Below are 16,441 nucleotides of genomic sequence, written 5' to 3'. Positions count from 1 at the left end.
CCAATGGTCAGTAATATTTTGAAATAAATCTTTTTTCTTTTTAACTGTAGGTCTCAACAGTGGGCTTAAAATATTCATTAAACCATACCATAAACAGATGTGCTATCATCCAGGCTTTGCTGTTCCATTTCTAGAGCACAGGCAGAGTAGATTTAGCATAATTCTGAAGGGCTCTAGGATTTTCAGAATGGCAAATGAGCACTGATTTCAATTTAAAGTCACCAGCTGCATTAGCCTCTAACAAGAGAGTCAGCCTGTCCTTTGAAGCTGTGAAGCCAGGCATGGACTTTTCCTCTTTAGCTATGAAAATCCTAGATGACATCTTCTTTCAATAGAAGACTGCTTTGCCTACCCTGAAAATCTTTGTTAGTGTTATAGCTCTTTTAGAATTTGTCTAGCAGGTTTTCTGGTTTTCATCCAAAAACCCCCATGAAGGGGGGGAAAAAAAGAGGAAAATCTGTTTAGTGTAGCCACCTTCATCAATGACCTTAGCTAGATCTTCAAGACAACTTGTTGCAGTTTTTACAATAGCACTTGCTACTTCACCTTTTCTGTCATGGAAATGGCTTCTTTCTTCTAACCTCATGAACCAACCTCTGCTAGCTTCAAGCTTCTTCTGCAGCTTCCTCACCTCTCTCAGCCTTCATAGAATTGAAGAGAGTTAGGCCCTTGCTCTAGATTAGGCTTTGGCTTAAGGGAATGTTGTGGCTGGTTTGATCTTCTACCCAGACCACTCAAACTTTCTCTATATCAGCAATTATGCTGTTTCTCTTTCTTATCATTCACGTGTTCACTGAAGTAGCACTTTTAATTTCATTCAAGATCTTTTTCTTTGCATTCACAAGTTGGCTGCTAGATGCAAGAGGCCTAGCTTTCAGCCTATCTCAGCTTTTGACACGCCTTTCTCACAAAGCTTAATCATTTCTAGTTTTTGATTTAAAATGAGAGATGAGGCCAGGCATGGTAGTTCATGCCTGTAATCCCAGCATTTTGAGAGGCTGAAGCAGGTGGATCACTCGAGGTTCGGAGTTTGAGATCAGCCTGGCCAATGTGGTGAAATCCTCTCTACTAAAAATACAAAAATTAGCCTGGCATGGTGGCGGGTGCCAGATACTCAGGAGGCTGAGGCAGGAGAATCGCTTGAACTGGGGAGGCGGAGGTTGCAGTGAGCCAAGGTCGTGCCACTGCACTCCAGCTTGGGTGACAGAGCGAGACTCTTTGTCTCAAAAAATAAATAAATAAATAAATAATAAAATGAGGGATGTGTGGCTCTTTCACTTGAATGCTTAGAGGCCATTGTAGGTTATTAATTGGCCTAATTTCAATATTTTTGTATCTTAGGTAATAGGGAGGCCTGAGGAAAGGAAGAAAGAGGGGGAAGTCGGTCGGTGGATCAGTCAGAACCCATCCAGCATTGATCAGTTAAGTTCACCATCTTATATAGGTGTGGTCTATGCTGCCCAAAACAATTACCACAGAAACATCGGAGATCGTTGATCACAGATCACTGTAACAGATATAATAATAATGAACAAGTTTGAAATATCGTGAGAATTGCCAAAATATGACAGAGACATGAATTGAGTATATGTTGTTGGAAAAATGGTGCCAATAGACCCGCTCAGCGCAGCGTTGCCACAAACCTTTAATTTGTAAAGAAATGCAGTATCTGTGAATTGCAATATAATGAAGCGCAATAAAGCGGAGCACAATTAATATGGTGTGCCTGTGGGTCCTCACTTCATTTCACCTTCTCATCTGGGTTCAGAGCCCTCTTCTTTCACTGCACATATCATTGCTGTGTTATAGATGAAGAGGGCTGCATCCCACTCTGGATTTCAACTCCCCGAGGATCGAGATTGAGTTGCTTATGGCCCTCTTGCCAGAGATTAGCATCCTGTCTAGTAATTATGGATGTTCAGTTATGATATAGAGTGAATAGAATAATTAGGGAGTAACTGGAAGGAATCAAGTTTTAAATATAAGATTTCTGTTATAATGGCAATAGGGGAGATAATTTGCCAAAAAGGCTGGTGGAGTGGGAGTGGATGGCAAGGGATGGTACCTGTCTGGTGTCCTTCAATTCAATCTGGAATTCCCTCCGCTTCTTACATGAAGACCAGTCCCAGGCATGCTGTTCTGATCCAAGAGTTAAAAGTACATCCTATGAAGATTTGAAAGATAAATGATTCCGGCATGGATGCCCCTTGTCTATTTTTCTTGTCACTTCTATGAAAATGTCAAGTTACCTGGGAATCAACTCCTCTGGGCCCCCTATAACACCTAATGATTTTGAATGGAATCTTGTAGAATATTTATGTCTTAAAAAAATAGAGCGAACGAGCCTAGGCAACATGGCAAAACCCTGTCTCTACAAAAAAAACAAAAATTAGCTGGGCATGGTGGTGCACACTTGTAGTCCTAGCCACTCAGGAGGCTGAGGTGAGAGGATCGCTTGAGTCCAGGAATTTGAGGTTGCAGTGAGCCATGATCACACCACTGCACTCCAGTCTGGACAACAGAGCCATATCCTTTCTCAATAATAATAATAATAATAATACATAAAATAGAATAAATGTATTGCAATGATCTCAGCCTCATTAATAACATGTTCTAACCTAGTAGTTCCCAAACAGCTATATTAGAATCATCTAGGGAGTTTAAAAAGGAAAAAAACCAAAACAGATTCCTGGTTCCAACCCTGGCTTTATGAAGTCAAACTTTCTATATGGTATCAAGGAATCTATGTTTTAAATCATTAGGTGTTTCCAAAGAATACTTTGATTTAGAAACTACTTCTTTGATCAAATTAATTTCTTAAACAAATAAAGGGCCACTTATTTGGTTTGTGAATGTCTCCAATGAACATCTGTACTATTTTTAGAGACAATAAAAGTCACAGAAGACAGGTAGAGTTAGTAACTAATTAGTAACTACAGTTCTTTTAAATGATAATTTTTTCTCTTATGTGGGCAATTACCAAATAAAATTCATTACTATTTAGCTATATCTCCATTTAGCCTGTATAATAATAATGATCTATTAGTTTGTCTTTCAATAGTGCTTATTAGTGGGTTCGATATATATAGGTCAGTGTGTCGAACAAATTACCCTCAGAAGCAATTATCAGTTCTTTATGTTCTTGCTTAAGGAATTGTTGGATATGACTGGTGTGATTGAGGGATGTGAAATAGAGGTGATGAAGGAGCTTCTTCAAGATTCCAGGAAATTCAGAAAGGAAGAGAATACGGACTGTTTTGAAGTTGATTCTAACAAACCATTTGCCTGCAGTTGAAAGGTTTTGCTATATTTTTTTGAGTAAATAACTGTGATTTGGAAAGGGACACAGTAAAAAAGATTTTAAAATCTCCACCTTCAATGAGTTTTCTGTTTCTTCTGGGAGATAAGTTATGCAGCCATAATTTAAGGTAAAACACAATGTGCTATAGCAGAAGTAAAACCAAAAGTGTTCTAAAAAGGTGAAATTAGCTTAGAACTATGCTAAAAAGACTAATGACGTGCTATCAGAGAGCAAAACACATTATGAAATTACAGTAAATAAGTGTTTGTGGTATCTGTACAAAAATTAGACAGATAGGACAGGAAGAGTCCATAAAGACTGTATTCTATACAATCATTTAAGAATAAAAGAGATAAATCAGTGGTGAAAGAACAGTTTATTCAACAAATAGTTATTAAAACATTGCAAAGCAGATTTAGATCAGAATGAATTAGATTTTTCTGTCGTATCATCACTAAGATCTAATTATTAAAAGTGATAATACTCAATATTAGCAAGAGTATAGTGAGATAAATACTCTCTTATACAGCTACTGGGGATACAAATTAGACTAATCTCTCTGGAAAGCATTTTGTAATATGAATTAATACATTTTAAAATATTCACAATCTTTTAATAGTTCCACTTATATGCATACACATACACATATGTATGTATATCTATGTACATGTATGTGTTCACAGATATACATATATACACACATATCCCTAAGATTGTGAAATTTCAGTTAAATTCATTTATAAAATGGTCACTATAGTGTTATTTATGATGGTAATAAAATTAGAAAATTCATAGTTGATTAGGACAATTATTAAGTAAATTGTATTACTTCAACACAGTGGAATAGGTCTGTTAAAAGTTATCTGTTGGCAGTTTTTTATTGATATGTTCGATAAAAAAGGTAGGATACTATCACCTCAGTATTCAAAACATAGAAAACCAACCAGCTGGAAATATATATTCCAAAATGTTCATCTTGCTGTTTTGGAATTATGGGATTATGGGTGTGCCCCTCCTCTTTCCAAATTTTCTGCAATCTACATTTTAGAGTAGTTTCTTGACATTCACAGGTGATGTATCTGAAACAGTTGCTAATCCTCAAATGTGAATACTTTCACTTTCTCAGACTTTAGTTCTGTCTATTGCAGCACTGTCTCTTTATCATCAGCACTGTCAGTTGGATTTCTTCTCACACAGAATATTTTTGTTACATCCTTAAAGCTACTATATACTTGGTAATGAGAAGAGAACAACAGAGCCACATTGAGCTCAGATTCTGGTCTTGCGGTCAGCTAGCAGTAATAGCAGTAGAGAGCAAATACTTCCCTTTCTAAATGTCCCCTTCCACGACATTCAATTAATAACAATAACAATAAAAAGAATTATTTGATATGGACAATTGACATTCTCTGATTCTAATATAAAGAATGAATACATGTATCTTAAGAAAATGTTGCTATTTTTCTTGATCAAAGTTAACGTAATGTTGGCCAAGCAAGCCCTAAAAGCCAGATTGTATCCTCTAAGTCCCTCCTATAGAGAAATGTAGGAGGCACCGCTCTGCCAGCCTCACTCATCAATAAGCCATTCTGGTTTTGCACCATCTGCAAAGAATTCATGATCAAATTCACATCAAAGCAAAATTACCAACTACCAGGTCATAGAACTTAGGTCTTTTTCTTGAGTAATTAAACTGAGGAACAGTAAGTTTATTATGCCAAAGTCTATGTTAAAATTCAAAGGTAAGGGAGAGCAATGGAAAGAGAAAAAAGAAATTAATTTGATGTGGGATGGTGCAAGTACGATTTTCATTAAGTATTCACAGGTGCAAATGTAATTTTATTTCTCTACGACTAAAAGTAACTATATCCTCAGTCTTCCCCAGCCCCAGCCCCACAAATTCTTAATCTGAAAACAAAACTTTCAAAATTATTAACAGAAGGTGGATTGATAATACAAAGACTCTATCATGGCAATATTCTTTCTTCCTGTGGTAAATCTGAAAGGTTAGTTTTGTTTGATCCAAGTTGTTCCTGATTTTTTTTTAAAAGTGGCATATGACTTAGGTGAAAGGGGAGCAAGTACAGTATGACTGGAGCATATAATATGTGGGTCAGTGTAAGAGGTAGTGTTTGATTTTAGTGGTAAGAAGGAGGTAAGACTAGAAAGGTAGGTTGGAGTTAATCAGGATCCAAGTAAAAAAAAAAAACCGAAATATTTCTAGATATTTTAAACAGAAGGAATTTAATACAAGGAATTGGTTACATGGGTAAGGGAATGAGAGAGAGAGATTTATAATAAAAAGGGGGTGGAGTGGTTAGTAAACAACAGTTTAGTAACTGCATGAAGCGACTACAGTTCTTAGGCCTGGGAGACAAAAGGATGAATCTGGTGTTACCGGAGTCCAAATGTGCAGAGAAAGGCTGTTTGGCTATGCTAGAACTCATGGCTGTTGCCGCTACTATGGAGATAATGTGGGTTGCGGAAGGATACAGCCACTTGCGGAGGAGTTCTAGAAGCGGATAAGAAGGAGGAAGAATGGATTCTCCATCTTTTTATTTTCTACGTCCTGCCAGTGTCCTCTACTGGCAAAAAATAACAACAACAACAACAACAGCCAGTTGTCAAGGAATTCTGGGAAAAGTAGTATGTAGACCCTCAGGTTTAGAATTACAGAGCAGAATAAAGAAAAGTTGATATGGGCTAAAATACTATAGGTCTAAACTGAGAAATGTCAGTAAGGAATTTGGACTTTTAGAGAAGTTGTAAGGACTTGTAATAAGTTTAATTATATGAATAAAGTCTCAGGAAAGAAGTGGGCTAGATTTCTCAGTTTCACATCAAGGTACCCAATCCCATCCCACCCAGCCCACCAAGCTACTATGGGATTTCCTTTCTCTCTACGCATGTGTATTAGAGTACATGCTTTTTCCTATCCACTCCTTTAACTTCTCCCAGGGCCAGAGAAGAAATTTAAGGACTAGGAATAAGACATTTTATAATGGTACCATTCATTGTTAGTGAATGTGGAGAATGTTTGTAATGGAACCCAGAACAGGAAGAGAGGAAAATGCATCATTTTTAGCATAATAATGGCCAGAGTTAATATTTCACAAGAAATAAAATCATACAAAATCAACATACAAAAATCAGCATTTCTATATGCCAGCAGTGAACAATCTGAAAAAGAAATGAAAAAAGTAATTCCATTTACAATAGCCACAAAAAATTAAATACTTAGCAATCAACTTAACCAAATAAGTGAAAGATCTCTCTGTAATGAAAACTATAAAACACAAATGAAAGAAATTGAAGAGGACACCAAAAACTGGAAAGATATTCCATGTTCATGGACTGGAAAATTCAATATTGCTAAAATGTCCATACTACCCAATCTACAGATTCAATGTAAACCAATGACATTCTTCACAGAAATAGAAAAAAACCTATAATTTATATAAAACCACAAAAGACCTAGAATAACCAAAGCTATCCTAAGAACAAAGAACAAATCTGCAGTACCTAACTTCAAGTTATACTACAGAGCTATAGGAAACAAAACAGCATGGTACTGGCGTAAAAACAGACACATAGACCAATGGAAGAGAATAGAGAACCCAGAAACAAATCCACACACCTACAGTGAACTCATTTTCAACATAGGTGCCAAAAACATGCACTGGGGAAAAGATAGTCTCTTCAATAAATGGTGCTGGGAAAACTGGATATTCATATGCAGAAGAATGAAACTAGATCCTTATCTTTTGACCTATAGAAACGTCAAATTAAAATGGATTAAACACTTAAATCTAAGATCTGAAACTATGAAACTATGACAAGAAAACCTCAGGGAAAATGTCCAAGACATTGGGTCTGGGCAAAGATTTCTTGAGCAATACCCCACAACCACAGGCAACCAAAGCAAACATGGACAAATGAGATGACATCAAGTTAAAAAGCTTCTGCATGGCAAAGGAAACAATCAACAAAGTCAAGAGACAACCCACAAAATGGGAGAAAATATTTGCAAACGACCCATCTGACAAGGGATTAATAACCAGAATATATAAAGAGCTCAAAGAACTCTATAGGAAAAAAATCTAAGCATCCAATTAAAAAATAGGCAAAATATTTGAATAGACATTTCTCAAAAGAAGACACATAAATGGCAAACAGGCATATGAAAAGGTGCTCACCATCACTGATCATCAGAGAGATGCAAAACAAAACAACAATGAGATATCTCACCCCAGTTTAAAAGGCTTACATACAAAAGACAGGCAATAACATGCTGGCGAGGACGTGGAGAAAAGGGAAGCTTTCCACCATTGGTGGAAGTGTAAATTAATTCAACCACTATGGAGAACAGTTTGGAAGTTCCTTAAAAAAACGAAAAATAGAGCTACCACATGATCCAGCAATCTCACTGCTGAGTATATACCCAAAAGAAAGGAAATCAATATATGGAAGAGATATCTGTTTGCAGAGACACTCTTTGCAGCAGCACTGTTCACAATAGCCAATATTTGGAAGCAACCTAAGTGTCCATCAACAGATGAATGAATAAAGAAAATGTGATACATATATACAAGGGAGTACTGTTAATCTGTAAAAAAGAATGATATCCTGTCATCTGTAACAACGTGGACCAAATTGGAGATCATTATGTTAAGTGAAATAAGCCAGGCACAGAAACACAAACATTGCATGTTCTCACTTCTTTGTGGGATCTAAAAATCAAAACAACTGAATTCATGGACATAGAGAGTAGAAGGATGATTACCAGAGGCTGGGAAGGGTAGTGAGGGGCTGGCGGTGGGGGGAAGTGGGGATGGTTAATGGGTACAAAAAAATAGAATGAATAAGACCTCCTATTTGACAGCACAACAGGGTGACTATAGTCAATAATAACTTAACCAGCACATTTTAAAATAATGAGAAGAGTGTAATTGGGTGGTTTGTAAAAAGGATAAATGTTTGAGGGGATGGATACCCCATTCTCCATTATGCAATTATGACATATTGCATGCCTGTATCAAAACATCTCATATACCCCATAAATAAATACACCTACTATTTACCCACAAAAATTAAAAATTAAAAAAAAAGAAGTAGGTTTACCTTTTTTTTTTTTTTTTTGAGACAGAGCCTCACTCTGTCACCCAGGCTGGAGTGCAGTGGTATGATTACAGCCTTTAAAACCTGGTTCCAAATGCTCCTCCAGCCCAGCCTACTGAGTAGCTGGAAGCACAGATGTGCACCACCTCACCTGGCTAAGTTAAATAATTTTTTTTTTTTGTAAAGATGGGGTCTTGTTTTGTTGCCCAGGCTGGTTTCAAACTCCTGGCTTCAAGCAGTCCTCCCTCTTTGGCCTCCAAAAGTGCTGGGATTACAGGTGTGAGACACTGCACCTGCCCCCACATCCTTGATGTTAGTAATATGAATTTCTCATGTTGGTTAGATGGCATCATCTTCACAAAATAGAGGAATATTTGTAGTTGCACATTGTGTTGGTTTTAGCTATTTTGGGAGAAAAACAGTTCCAGCTTAGTGAAAGTCCCACTGTTTTGCCATTATTCCTATGGATCACACTTGGAACATACTTGTTAACTTTGCCTGGAATTTTGTTACCAAAGTTCTGGGATTAGTTGAATCTCTTTTCCTTTGTCCCTGAAAGAGCAGGAAGTTATTACAACACATAATCTTCTTGGCCCTTCTTCTGGTCTTCACCTATACTTTTATATGTTGGTTGTCATAGAAATGTGCTGTCTTCCACAAATTGGTTATCTTAGACTTATCTGGAAGGTCACAATTCTGTAACGGAACAAAGACTCTGGGCCTAAATATGAAAGTAGAAAGTAGACATAATTGTATCCTCTCTATCCTGGGTCTCATTACAAAATTTCTTCAAATCACTTTACTGTAAATAGCACTGGGTGCAAAATGCTTCTCTCTTAGCACCAGGTTCCTCTTCCCACTAAAGGAAGAGAGAGGGTTTCAAGTCATCTTACCACTTATTTTTGCTCTTGTTGCCCAGGCTGGAGTGCAATGGCCCGATCTTAACTCATTGCAACCTCTGCCTCCCGGGTTGAAGCAATTCTCCTACCTCAGCCTCCTGAGTAGCTGGGATTACAGGCATGCACCACCATACCCGGCTATTTTTTTGTATTTTTAGTAGAGATAGGGTTTCTCCTTGTTGGTAGGGCTGGTCTCGAACTCCCAACCTCAGGTGATCCACCCGCCTCAGCCTCCCAAAGTGGTGGGATTACAGGTATGAGCCACCATGCCCGGCCCATATATTTTTATATATTAGTAAGATATGGGGGACAGGGAGGCAGGCAAGCAGGCAGCGTTTCATTCTCAAGAGACTGTTGACATACATCTCCCCCTTTGCAACTGCACAAAGAAACAGCAGGGCTATTGGACATGAAGGTTTGGTCAGAGGTGGGGCAGTGGTGGGGATAAGTTAGCTTAGAATAAGGGGAACTCTCTTGCTCCCCTTAGAATATTAGCCTTGAGGGTTGAAATGATCCATTAAGCTGATGGATGAAGATAGTTATTCAAATGAAAAGATCAAGGTCTTCTCTGGGTCTCAAAGCAGCACCTTCTAAGCATAAGACCCCAAACTACAACACTCCTAGAAGAAAACATGGTGGAAAAATTTAATGACATTAAACTTGGCCATGAATTTCTTGGCTATGACGCCAAAAGTACAGGCAACAAAATAAAAAAAAACAGACAAATGAAACTATAGCAAACTTAAGAACTTTTGTGCATCAAAGAACACAAGAGGGTGAAAATGCAATTTATAAGCCTGGTTATGGTGGCTTACACCTGTAATCTCAGCACTTTGGGGGGCCAAGGTAGGAAGATTACGTGAGGCCAGGGGTTTGAGACGAGCCTGGGTAACATAGTGAGATCCTGTTTCTACAAAAAAAAAATTTTAATTAGCTAGTTTTGGTAGTGTGTGCCTGTGGTCTCAGCTACTTGGGAGGCTGAAACAAAAGGATTGCTTGAACCCAGGGGTTCAAGGCTGCCATGAGACATGATCATGCCACTGCACACCAGCCTGAGTGACAGAGAGAGACCCAAACTTGAAAAAAAAAAGTTTACAGAATAAAAGGAAATATTTGTTAATCATAGATTTAATGAGGGTTAATATCCGGAATATGTAAAGAGCTCCTACAATTACAAAAACATCAAATAAGCTGATTTTAAAATGAGCAAAAGTCTGAATAGACATGTCTCCAAAGATGATATACAAATAGCCAATACACATATGAAAAGATGCTCGTCATCACCAATCATCAGAGATCCATTCTGCTTTCAAGTTAAATTGAAAACTGGAGGGGCCAGCTATTTTCCACAAGCTCAAGGTGACCACTGCCATGTGGTTTCAAGTGGTTCTGTACTGGCAAAATAATTAGGAGAACCTTTCCCTGTAGGTAGTTTTTTGGACCCAAACCAGCATGTCTAGAAAACATTCCTAAAATTTTAAGTCCATTTTGCTGAGACTATTTTCCTTCTTCTAATTTTTATTCTTTTATTAATAATCTCAATTTTTCAAACCAGATGGGACCTTTGAGCTATACTAGATCAGACATTTAAAATTTTTTATTTTATTTTATTATTATTATACTTTAAGTTTTAGGGTACATGTACACAATGTGCAGGTTAGTTACATATGTATACATGTGCCATGCTGGTGTGCTGTACCCATTAACTCGTCATTTAGCATTAGGTATATCTCCTAGTGCTATCCCTCCCCCCTCCCCCCACCCCACAACAGTCCCCAGAGTGTGATGTTCCCCTTCCTGTGTCCAAGTGTTCTCATTGTTCAATTCCCACCTATGAGTGAGAACATGCGGTGTTTGGTTTTTTGTCCTTGCGATAGTTTGCTGAGAACGATGATTTCCAATTTCATCCATGTCCCTACAAAGGACATGAACTCATCATTTTTTATGGCTGCATAGTATTCCATGGTGTATATGTGCCACATTTTCTTAATCCAGTCTATCGTTGTTGGACATTTGGGTTGGTTCCAAGTCTTTGCTATTGTGAATAGTGCCGCAATAAACATACGTGTGCATGTGTCTTTATAGCAGCATGATTTATAGTCCTTTGGGTATATACCCAGTAATGGGATGGCTGGGTCAAATGGTATTTCTAGTTCTAGATCCCTGAGGAATTGCCACACTGACTTCCACAATGGTTGAACTAGTTTACAGTCCCACCAACAGTGTAAAAGTGTTCCTATTTCTCCACATCCTCTCCAGCACCTGTTGTTTCCTGACTTTTTAATGATTGCCATTCTAACTGGTGTGAGATGGTATCTTATTGTGGTTTTGATTTGCATTTCTATGCATCCCATTTCAGTTAGTTGTCAACACTGAATTAGTTAGCAATATTTAATTGCTTGCCTGTGCCTCCTACCTGAGTTAGTTGCCAGCATTAGGAAAGCACAGGATTTTTGCCACACACACAAATTTCAAAATCTGCATTTCTGACTATTCTTGAAAAATTAGGCCTGTCAAGGCAAAAACTGATCAGAAGTTATTTGGTGACAAACTCGGACAATTCATGCACTCCTCAATTGGCAACGCTTCCTATCCTGATCATTCTGCTTTTTTTTTTTTTTTTTGAGACGGAGTCTCACTCTGTCGCCAGGCTGGAGTGCAGTGATGCGATCTCAGCTCACTGCAACCTCTGCCTCCCAGGTTCAAGTGATTCTCTTGCCTCAGCCTCCCGAGTAGCTGGGACTATAGGTGCACACCACCACTCCCAGCTAATTTGTGTATTTTTAGTAGAGACAGAGTTTCACCATGTTGGCCAGGATGGTCTTGATCTCTTGACCTCGTGATCCACCCGCCTCGGCCTCCCAAAGTGCTAGAATCACAGGCGTAAGCCACTGCACCCAGCCCATTCTGCTTATTTATGAGACCAGAAAAGCCTCTGGAAAGACAAGAGCACATTCCTGGGAGGCCATTTAGAGCATCACATTGTGGAGAGTCCTTAAATGGAAGCTTGCTTATAATTCCAGCCATGGTGGATTTAACACCAGAGTTGTGGGACAGATTATTTTTCTATGTCAGGTTTGAATTGACAAGCAATATACCACCAATTCAATGAGAATTAGACCATGAAGATCAAGACTAGCTATAATTTTGGAACAAAAGAATTATATCAGTTGGTCTCAGATTTGTTATTAAAAAACAAATAAATGCATGAAACACACAGCCTGAAAAGTCAGCAGGGACAAAGAAATAGCTTCAGCAACCTCAAAGAAGGTTATTTTCTAGGTAAACAATAATACTCTACAACATTTATTGAGTATTTACCATGTGTTAGGCACTATTCTAAGCAATTTATGTGAATTTTCATATTATATATGTACATAGAACCTAATGAGGCACACACCATTATTGCCCTTGTTTTACAAATGAAGAAGCTCAGGCTCAGAGAGGTTAAGTAACTTGACCAAGGTCACATGGCTACTAGGTGGTGGAGTTACAAGTTTGAGTATAGATTAGTTGAACTGCAGAGGCCACTACCACCCTCTAAACCATTCCCTACAGACTCATAACTTATTTTGCAGCTGTACAGCCTTGAGTAGTTTCTGAAATTATTTGGTGCTCTTAAATTCCCCAATGCACGGCTGACATAAGCTCTGAGAATAAAAACAACTAGAACATGAATAATATGTGACTGATGTTCAGTTCAGTGCTCAGTGAATATTAACAATGTAGTGATCAGCACCAACCCCTGAGACAAAACACATTAGCGTGGCAGCATTGTGGAGCGGAGAACTTGGGTATTGTAAGCAATCTCTGCTCTGCACTTCCTAGCTGCATGTCCTTAGGCAAGTCAGGCTCAGTTCCTACTTCTGCAAAACAGATAATGGTATCTTACCTCCCAAAATCATTGTGAAGAATAACTGAGTGAACATCTACGTACGCCTGGTAGGCAATGGGCAGTCCAAAAATGCTAGTGGCAACCTCTTGCACTGCCCTCCAGCAGTTTAAAGTTGTAATTTTGTTACTAACAAAGATATTTGGTGGCATGGATATGGTTTTTGCTTGGATAACTGCCTGATGGTGCTCTGGAAGCAGTTATCACTAAGTCTCAACCTGTTTCACATGAGTGTTTAAAGACGCCTTCTTTGGCTCCTACCAGTTTCTTCAGGTGCATTTCCAGGGGGTGGTAAGTAATAATCCTTAATCCCTCTATTTGAGGGGCAACGCCTTGTCAAGGTGCATTGTACTTGACATGTGGGAACATGGAGAGAGATTAGAGTCACTGAATTTCTGTAAAACTATTATATCACTTCCTTCCCTGAAGAATAGGATCTTGTCTGATTTCTGGTTGAATTTTGTTTTGTTCATCTGCATTGGGAAAATTCACTGATGTACATCCCTCAGTCTACCTAGGCCCCAGGCTACCTAGAGATTAAACATGGAGTTTTTCCCAAGGATATTATTTTGCCTGTAATTGTTTTTTAATTTTCCTGAAGGCCCAGCTCTGCAATTTTCTGTGTTTTTTTTTTCCCTCACAAGGAATGATCAAGCTTAAAGTGAATAGTAATAGAACTATTCATTTGTTCCAAATCTACTTTCCACTGAGACTCATAAAATTATACTTGTAGAGTTAGAGAGGACCTTGTTCAAACATCTTATTTTACTGAAGGAGACACAGAGATCCAGAGGTTGATTGATTCGTCTTCTATCACTCCGCTAAGCTGATAGAGTCCAGACTAGGACCTGGTCTCTTGGCCTCTGGTCTGGGGCTCTTTCCATGTCACCCCTTACAAACAAAAAATTTATTGATTAGGCTCTGCTAATGAAGAGGCTTCTAAACTAGCATTTTGCTTCTGAGAGTGAAAGTAAGTGGTTGACTTCTCATTACCTCCACCCATTACCACCTCCATCTCCCACCAAGCTGCCATCATCTTCTAACAGGCCTTCCTGCATTCAACCTTGCCTTTCTACCTAATCTCTTCTCCACACAGCAGCCAGAGGGCCACATTAAAATATCAGTTAGATCACAGCACTGCTCAGTTTAAAACCCTGCAATGACTCCCTGTTTGATTAAGAGGAAAAGCAAAAATTCTTACAATGACTGATAGTACCCCACATGTTTTCCTCCTAACCCCCTAAATACATTTTGTCCCAAATATGATGATGTCCTTGCCACTCCTTGAACAATATGCTCCCAGTCTCACAGTCCATGCACTAGCTGTTCCCTCTGAAACTCACATATTTATATTGGCTCACTCCTTCACCTCCTACATGCTTTGCTCAGGTGTCACCTCTGTGGGGCCTACACAAACTACCCAATTTAAAGTTGCAAACCCTTTTCCAGTGCTACCCTGCTTTATTTTTCTCCATGATACTTATCACCACCTAAATTTACACGCTCAGGCTTCCATAACAAAATACCCCAGACCAGATGGCTGGAGTGCATTGGGGCAATCTCGGCTCACTGCAACCTCCGCCTCCCAGGTTCAAGCAATTCTCCTGCCTCAGCCTCCTGAGTAGCTGGGATTACAGGCACACACCACCATGCCTGGCTAATTTTTGTATTTTTAGTAGAGACAGAGTTTCACCATGTTGGTCAGGTTGGTCTCGAACTTTTGACCTCATGATCCGCCTACCTCGTCCTCCCAAAATGCTGGGATTACAGGTGTGAGCCACCATGCCCAGCCAAAAACAGACATTTATCTTGTCACAGTTCTGGAGGCTGGAAGTCCATGATCAGCATGCCAACAAATTCCATTTCTGGTGAAGGCTCTCTTCCTGACTTGTAGATGACTGCCTTCTCACTGTGTCCTCATGTGAGGCCTTTCCCCATGAGATAAGAGAGAGTGAGCAAACTTCCTGGTGTCTCCTATAAGAACACTTATTCTATCAGATCACAGACCCACCATTATGACCTAATTTCATGTTAATGACCTCCTTAGCAGCCCCATCCAAAGATAGCCACACTGGGGATCAGGCTTCAACATATGAATTTTGAGTGGGCACATTTAGTTTGCAACACTAGCTGACATTTTGTATTAATTCCCTTTTCGTGTTTATCATCTGTCTTCTCTCACCAGAATGGGAACAAGAATTTTTTTTCTGTTCTATGTACTACCTACTGTAGTGCCTTACATATAATAGGTGCTCAATAAATATTTGTGAAGGAATAAATCAAATACCTAGCCCTTACCTGGTAGGCAGCCTCTAAAATGGCTCCAAATGATTTCTGGCTTCTGGTATTCAGACCCTTGTATAATCTCCTCCCCCCACGTATGGGTTAGACTTAGTGACTTACTCATGGTTCATACAAAGTGAAAAAAGTGATGAGATGTTGCAAAGATTGGGTTTTTGCACAAGGACTCTGACTTCCATATTTTTGCCCTTTCTTGCTCTCTCACTTGCTCCCTCTGATGGGAGCCAGCTGCCATGTTGTGAGCTGCCCCATGGAAAGACCCTCATGGCAAGGAACTGAGAGAAGCCTTTAAAGAACTTAATCTTGCCAACATCTGAGTCAGTTTGAAAGAGGATCTCCCCTTGGTCAAACTTTCAGATAAGACCACAGCCCCAGTTGATGTAAACTGATTTCAGCTTTGTAAGAGTCTTTGAGGGACAGGTACTCAGCTAAGCCAGGCCCAAATTCCTGACCCAGAGAAACTATGAGATAATAAGTATTTGCTATTTTATGCTACAACATTTTGGGGTAAATATTTTACATAGTAGTGTATAACTAATACACCTAATAATATAGGAACAATATCATCAGGGGCAAAAATGTGAACACTTAATCTTAGATCATTTGAAATTGGGCTGTTCTTAAAATTGGGGGACATTCAATTGTTATAGGCCAATACTGTGGCAATTCAAGTAGTTTCTTTATCTAAGACTATATCTAAGAGTAGCAGTCAGCAAACTACAGCCCATGGGCCAGCTGTATGTTTCTATAACTATGGATTTATATTAGAACACAGACACACCCATTCATTTGCATATTGTCTATGGCTGCTTTGCAGAATTGAGTAGTGGCTGCAGAGACTATCTGACCAGCAAGCCTAAAGTTTTTACTATCTGTCCCTTTAAGAAAAAGTTTGCTGACCCCGGTTCTAGAGGCAAAAACTAATACCTC

General features: G+C 38.9%; 1 long non-coding RNA gene, 1 other non-coding gene and 1 pseudogene across 2 annotated transcripts; 2 read left to right on the top strand and 1 right to left on the bottom strand.

The window, feature by feature from the left end:
- Positions 268 to 527, top strand: RNU7-62P (RNA, U7 small nuclear 62 pseudogene; annotated as a pseudogene).
- On the top strand, positions 368 to 429 carry LOC124904732 (U7 small nuclear RNA). The gene has a single exon (XR_007067283.1). It is a non-coding gene; the product is annotated as a U7 small nuclear RNA (small nuclear RNA).
- Positions 1,256 to 15,142, bottom strand: LOC105378774 (uncharacterized). The gene is made up of 3 exons (XR_947460.4): positions 14,952 to 15,142; positions 2,066 to 2,164; positions 1,256 to 1,507 (listed from the first exon to the last, which is right to left on the bottom strand). It is a non-coding gene; the product is annotated as an uncharacterized LOC105378774 (long non-coding RNA).
- Between the last annotated feature and the right edge of the window lie 1,299 nt (positions 15,143 to 16,441).

This window comes from Homo sapiens, chromosome 1 (genome assembly GCF_000001405.40).
Source record: "Homo sapiens chromosome 1, GRCh38.p14 Primary Assembly".
Taxonomy (NCBI): Eukaryota; Metazoa; Chordata; class Mammalia; order Primates; family Hominidae; genus Homo; species Homo sapiens.
The sequence above is the reverse complement of the archived record's forward strand: the minus strand, read 5'-3'. Positions and strand labels throughout refer to the sequence as shown.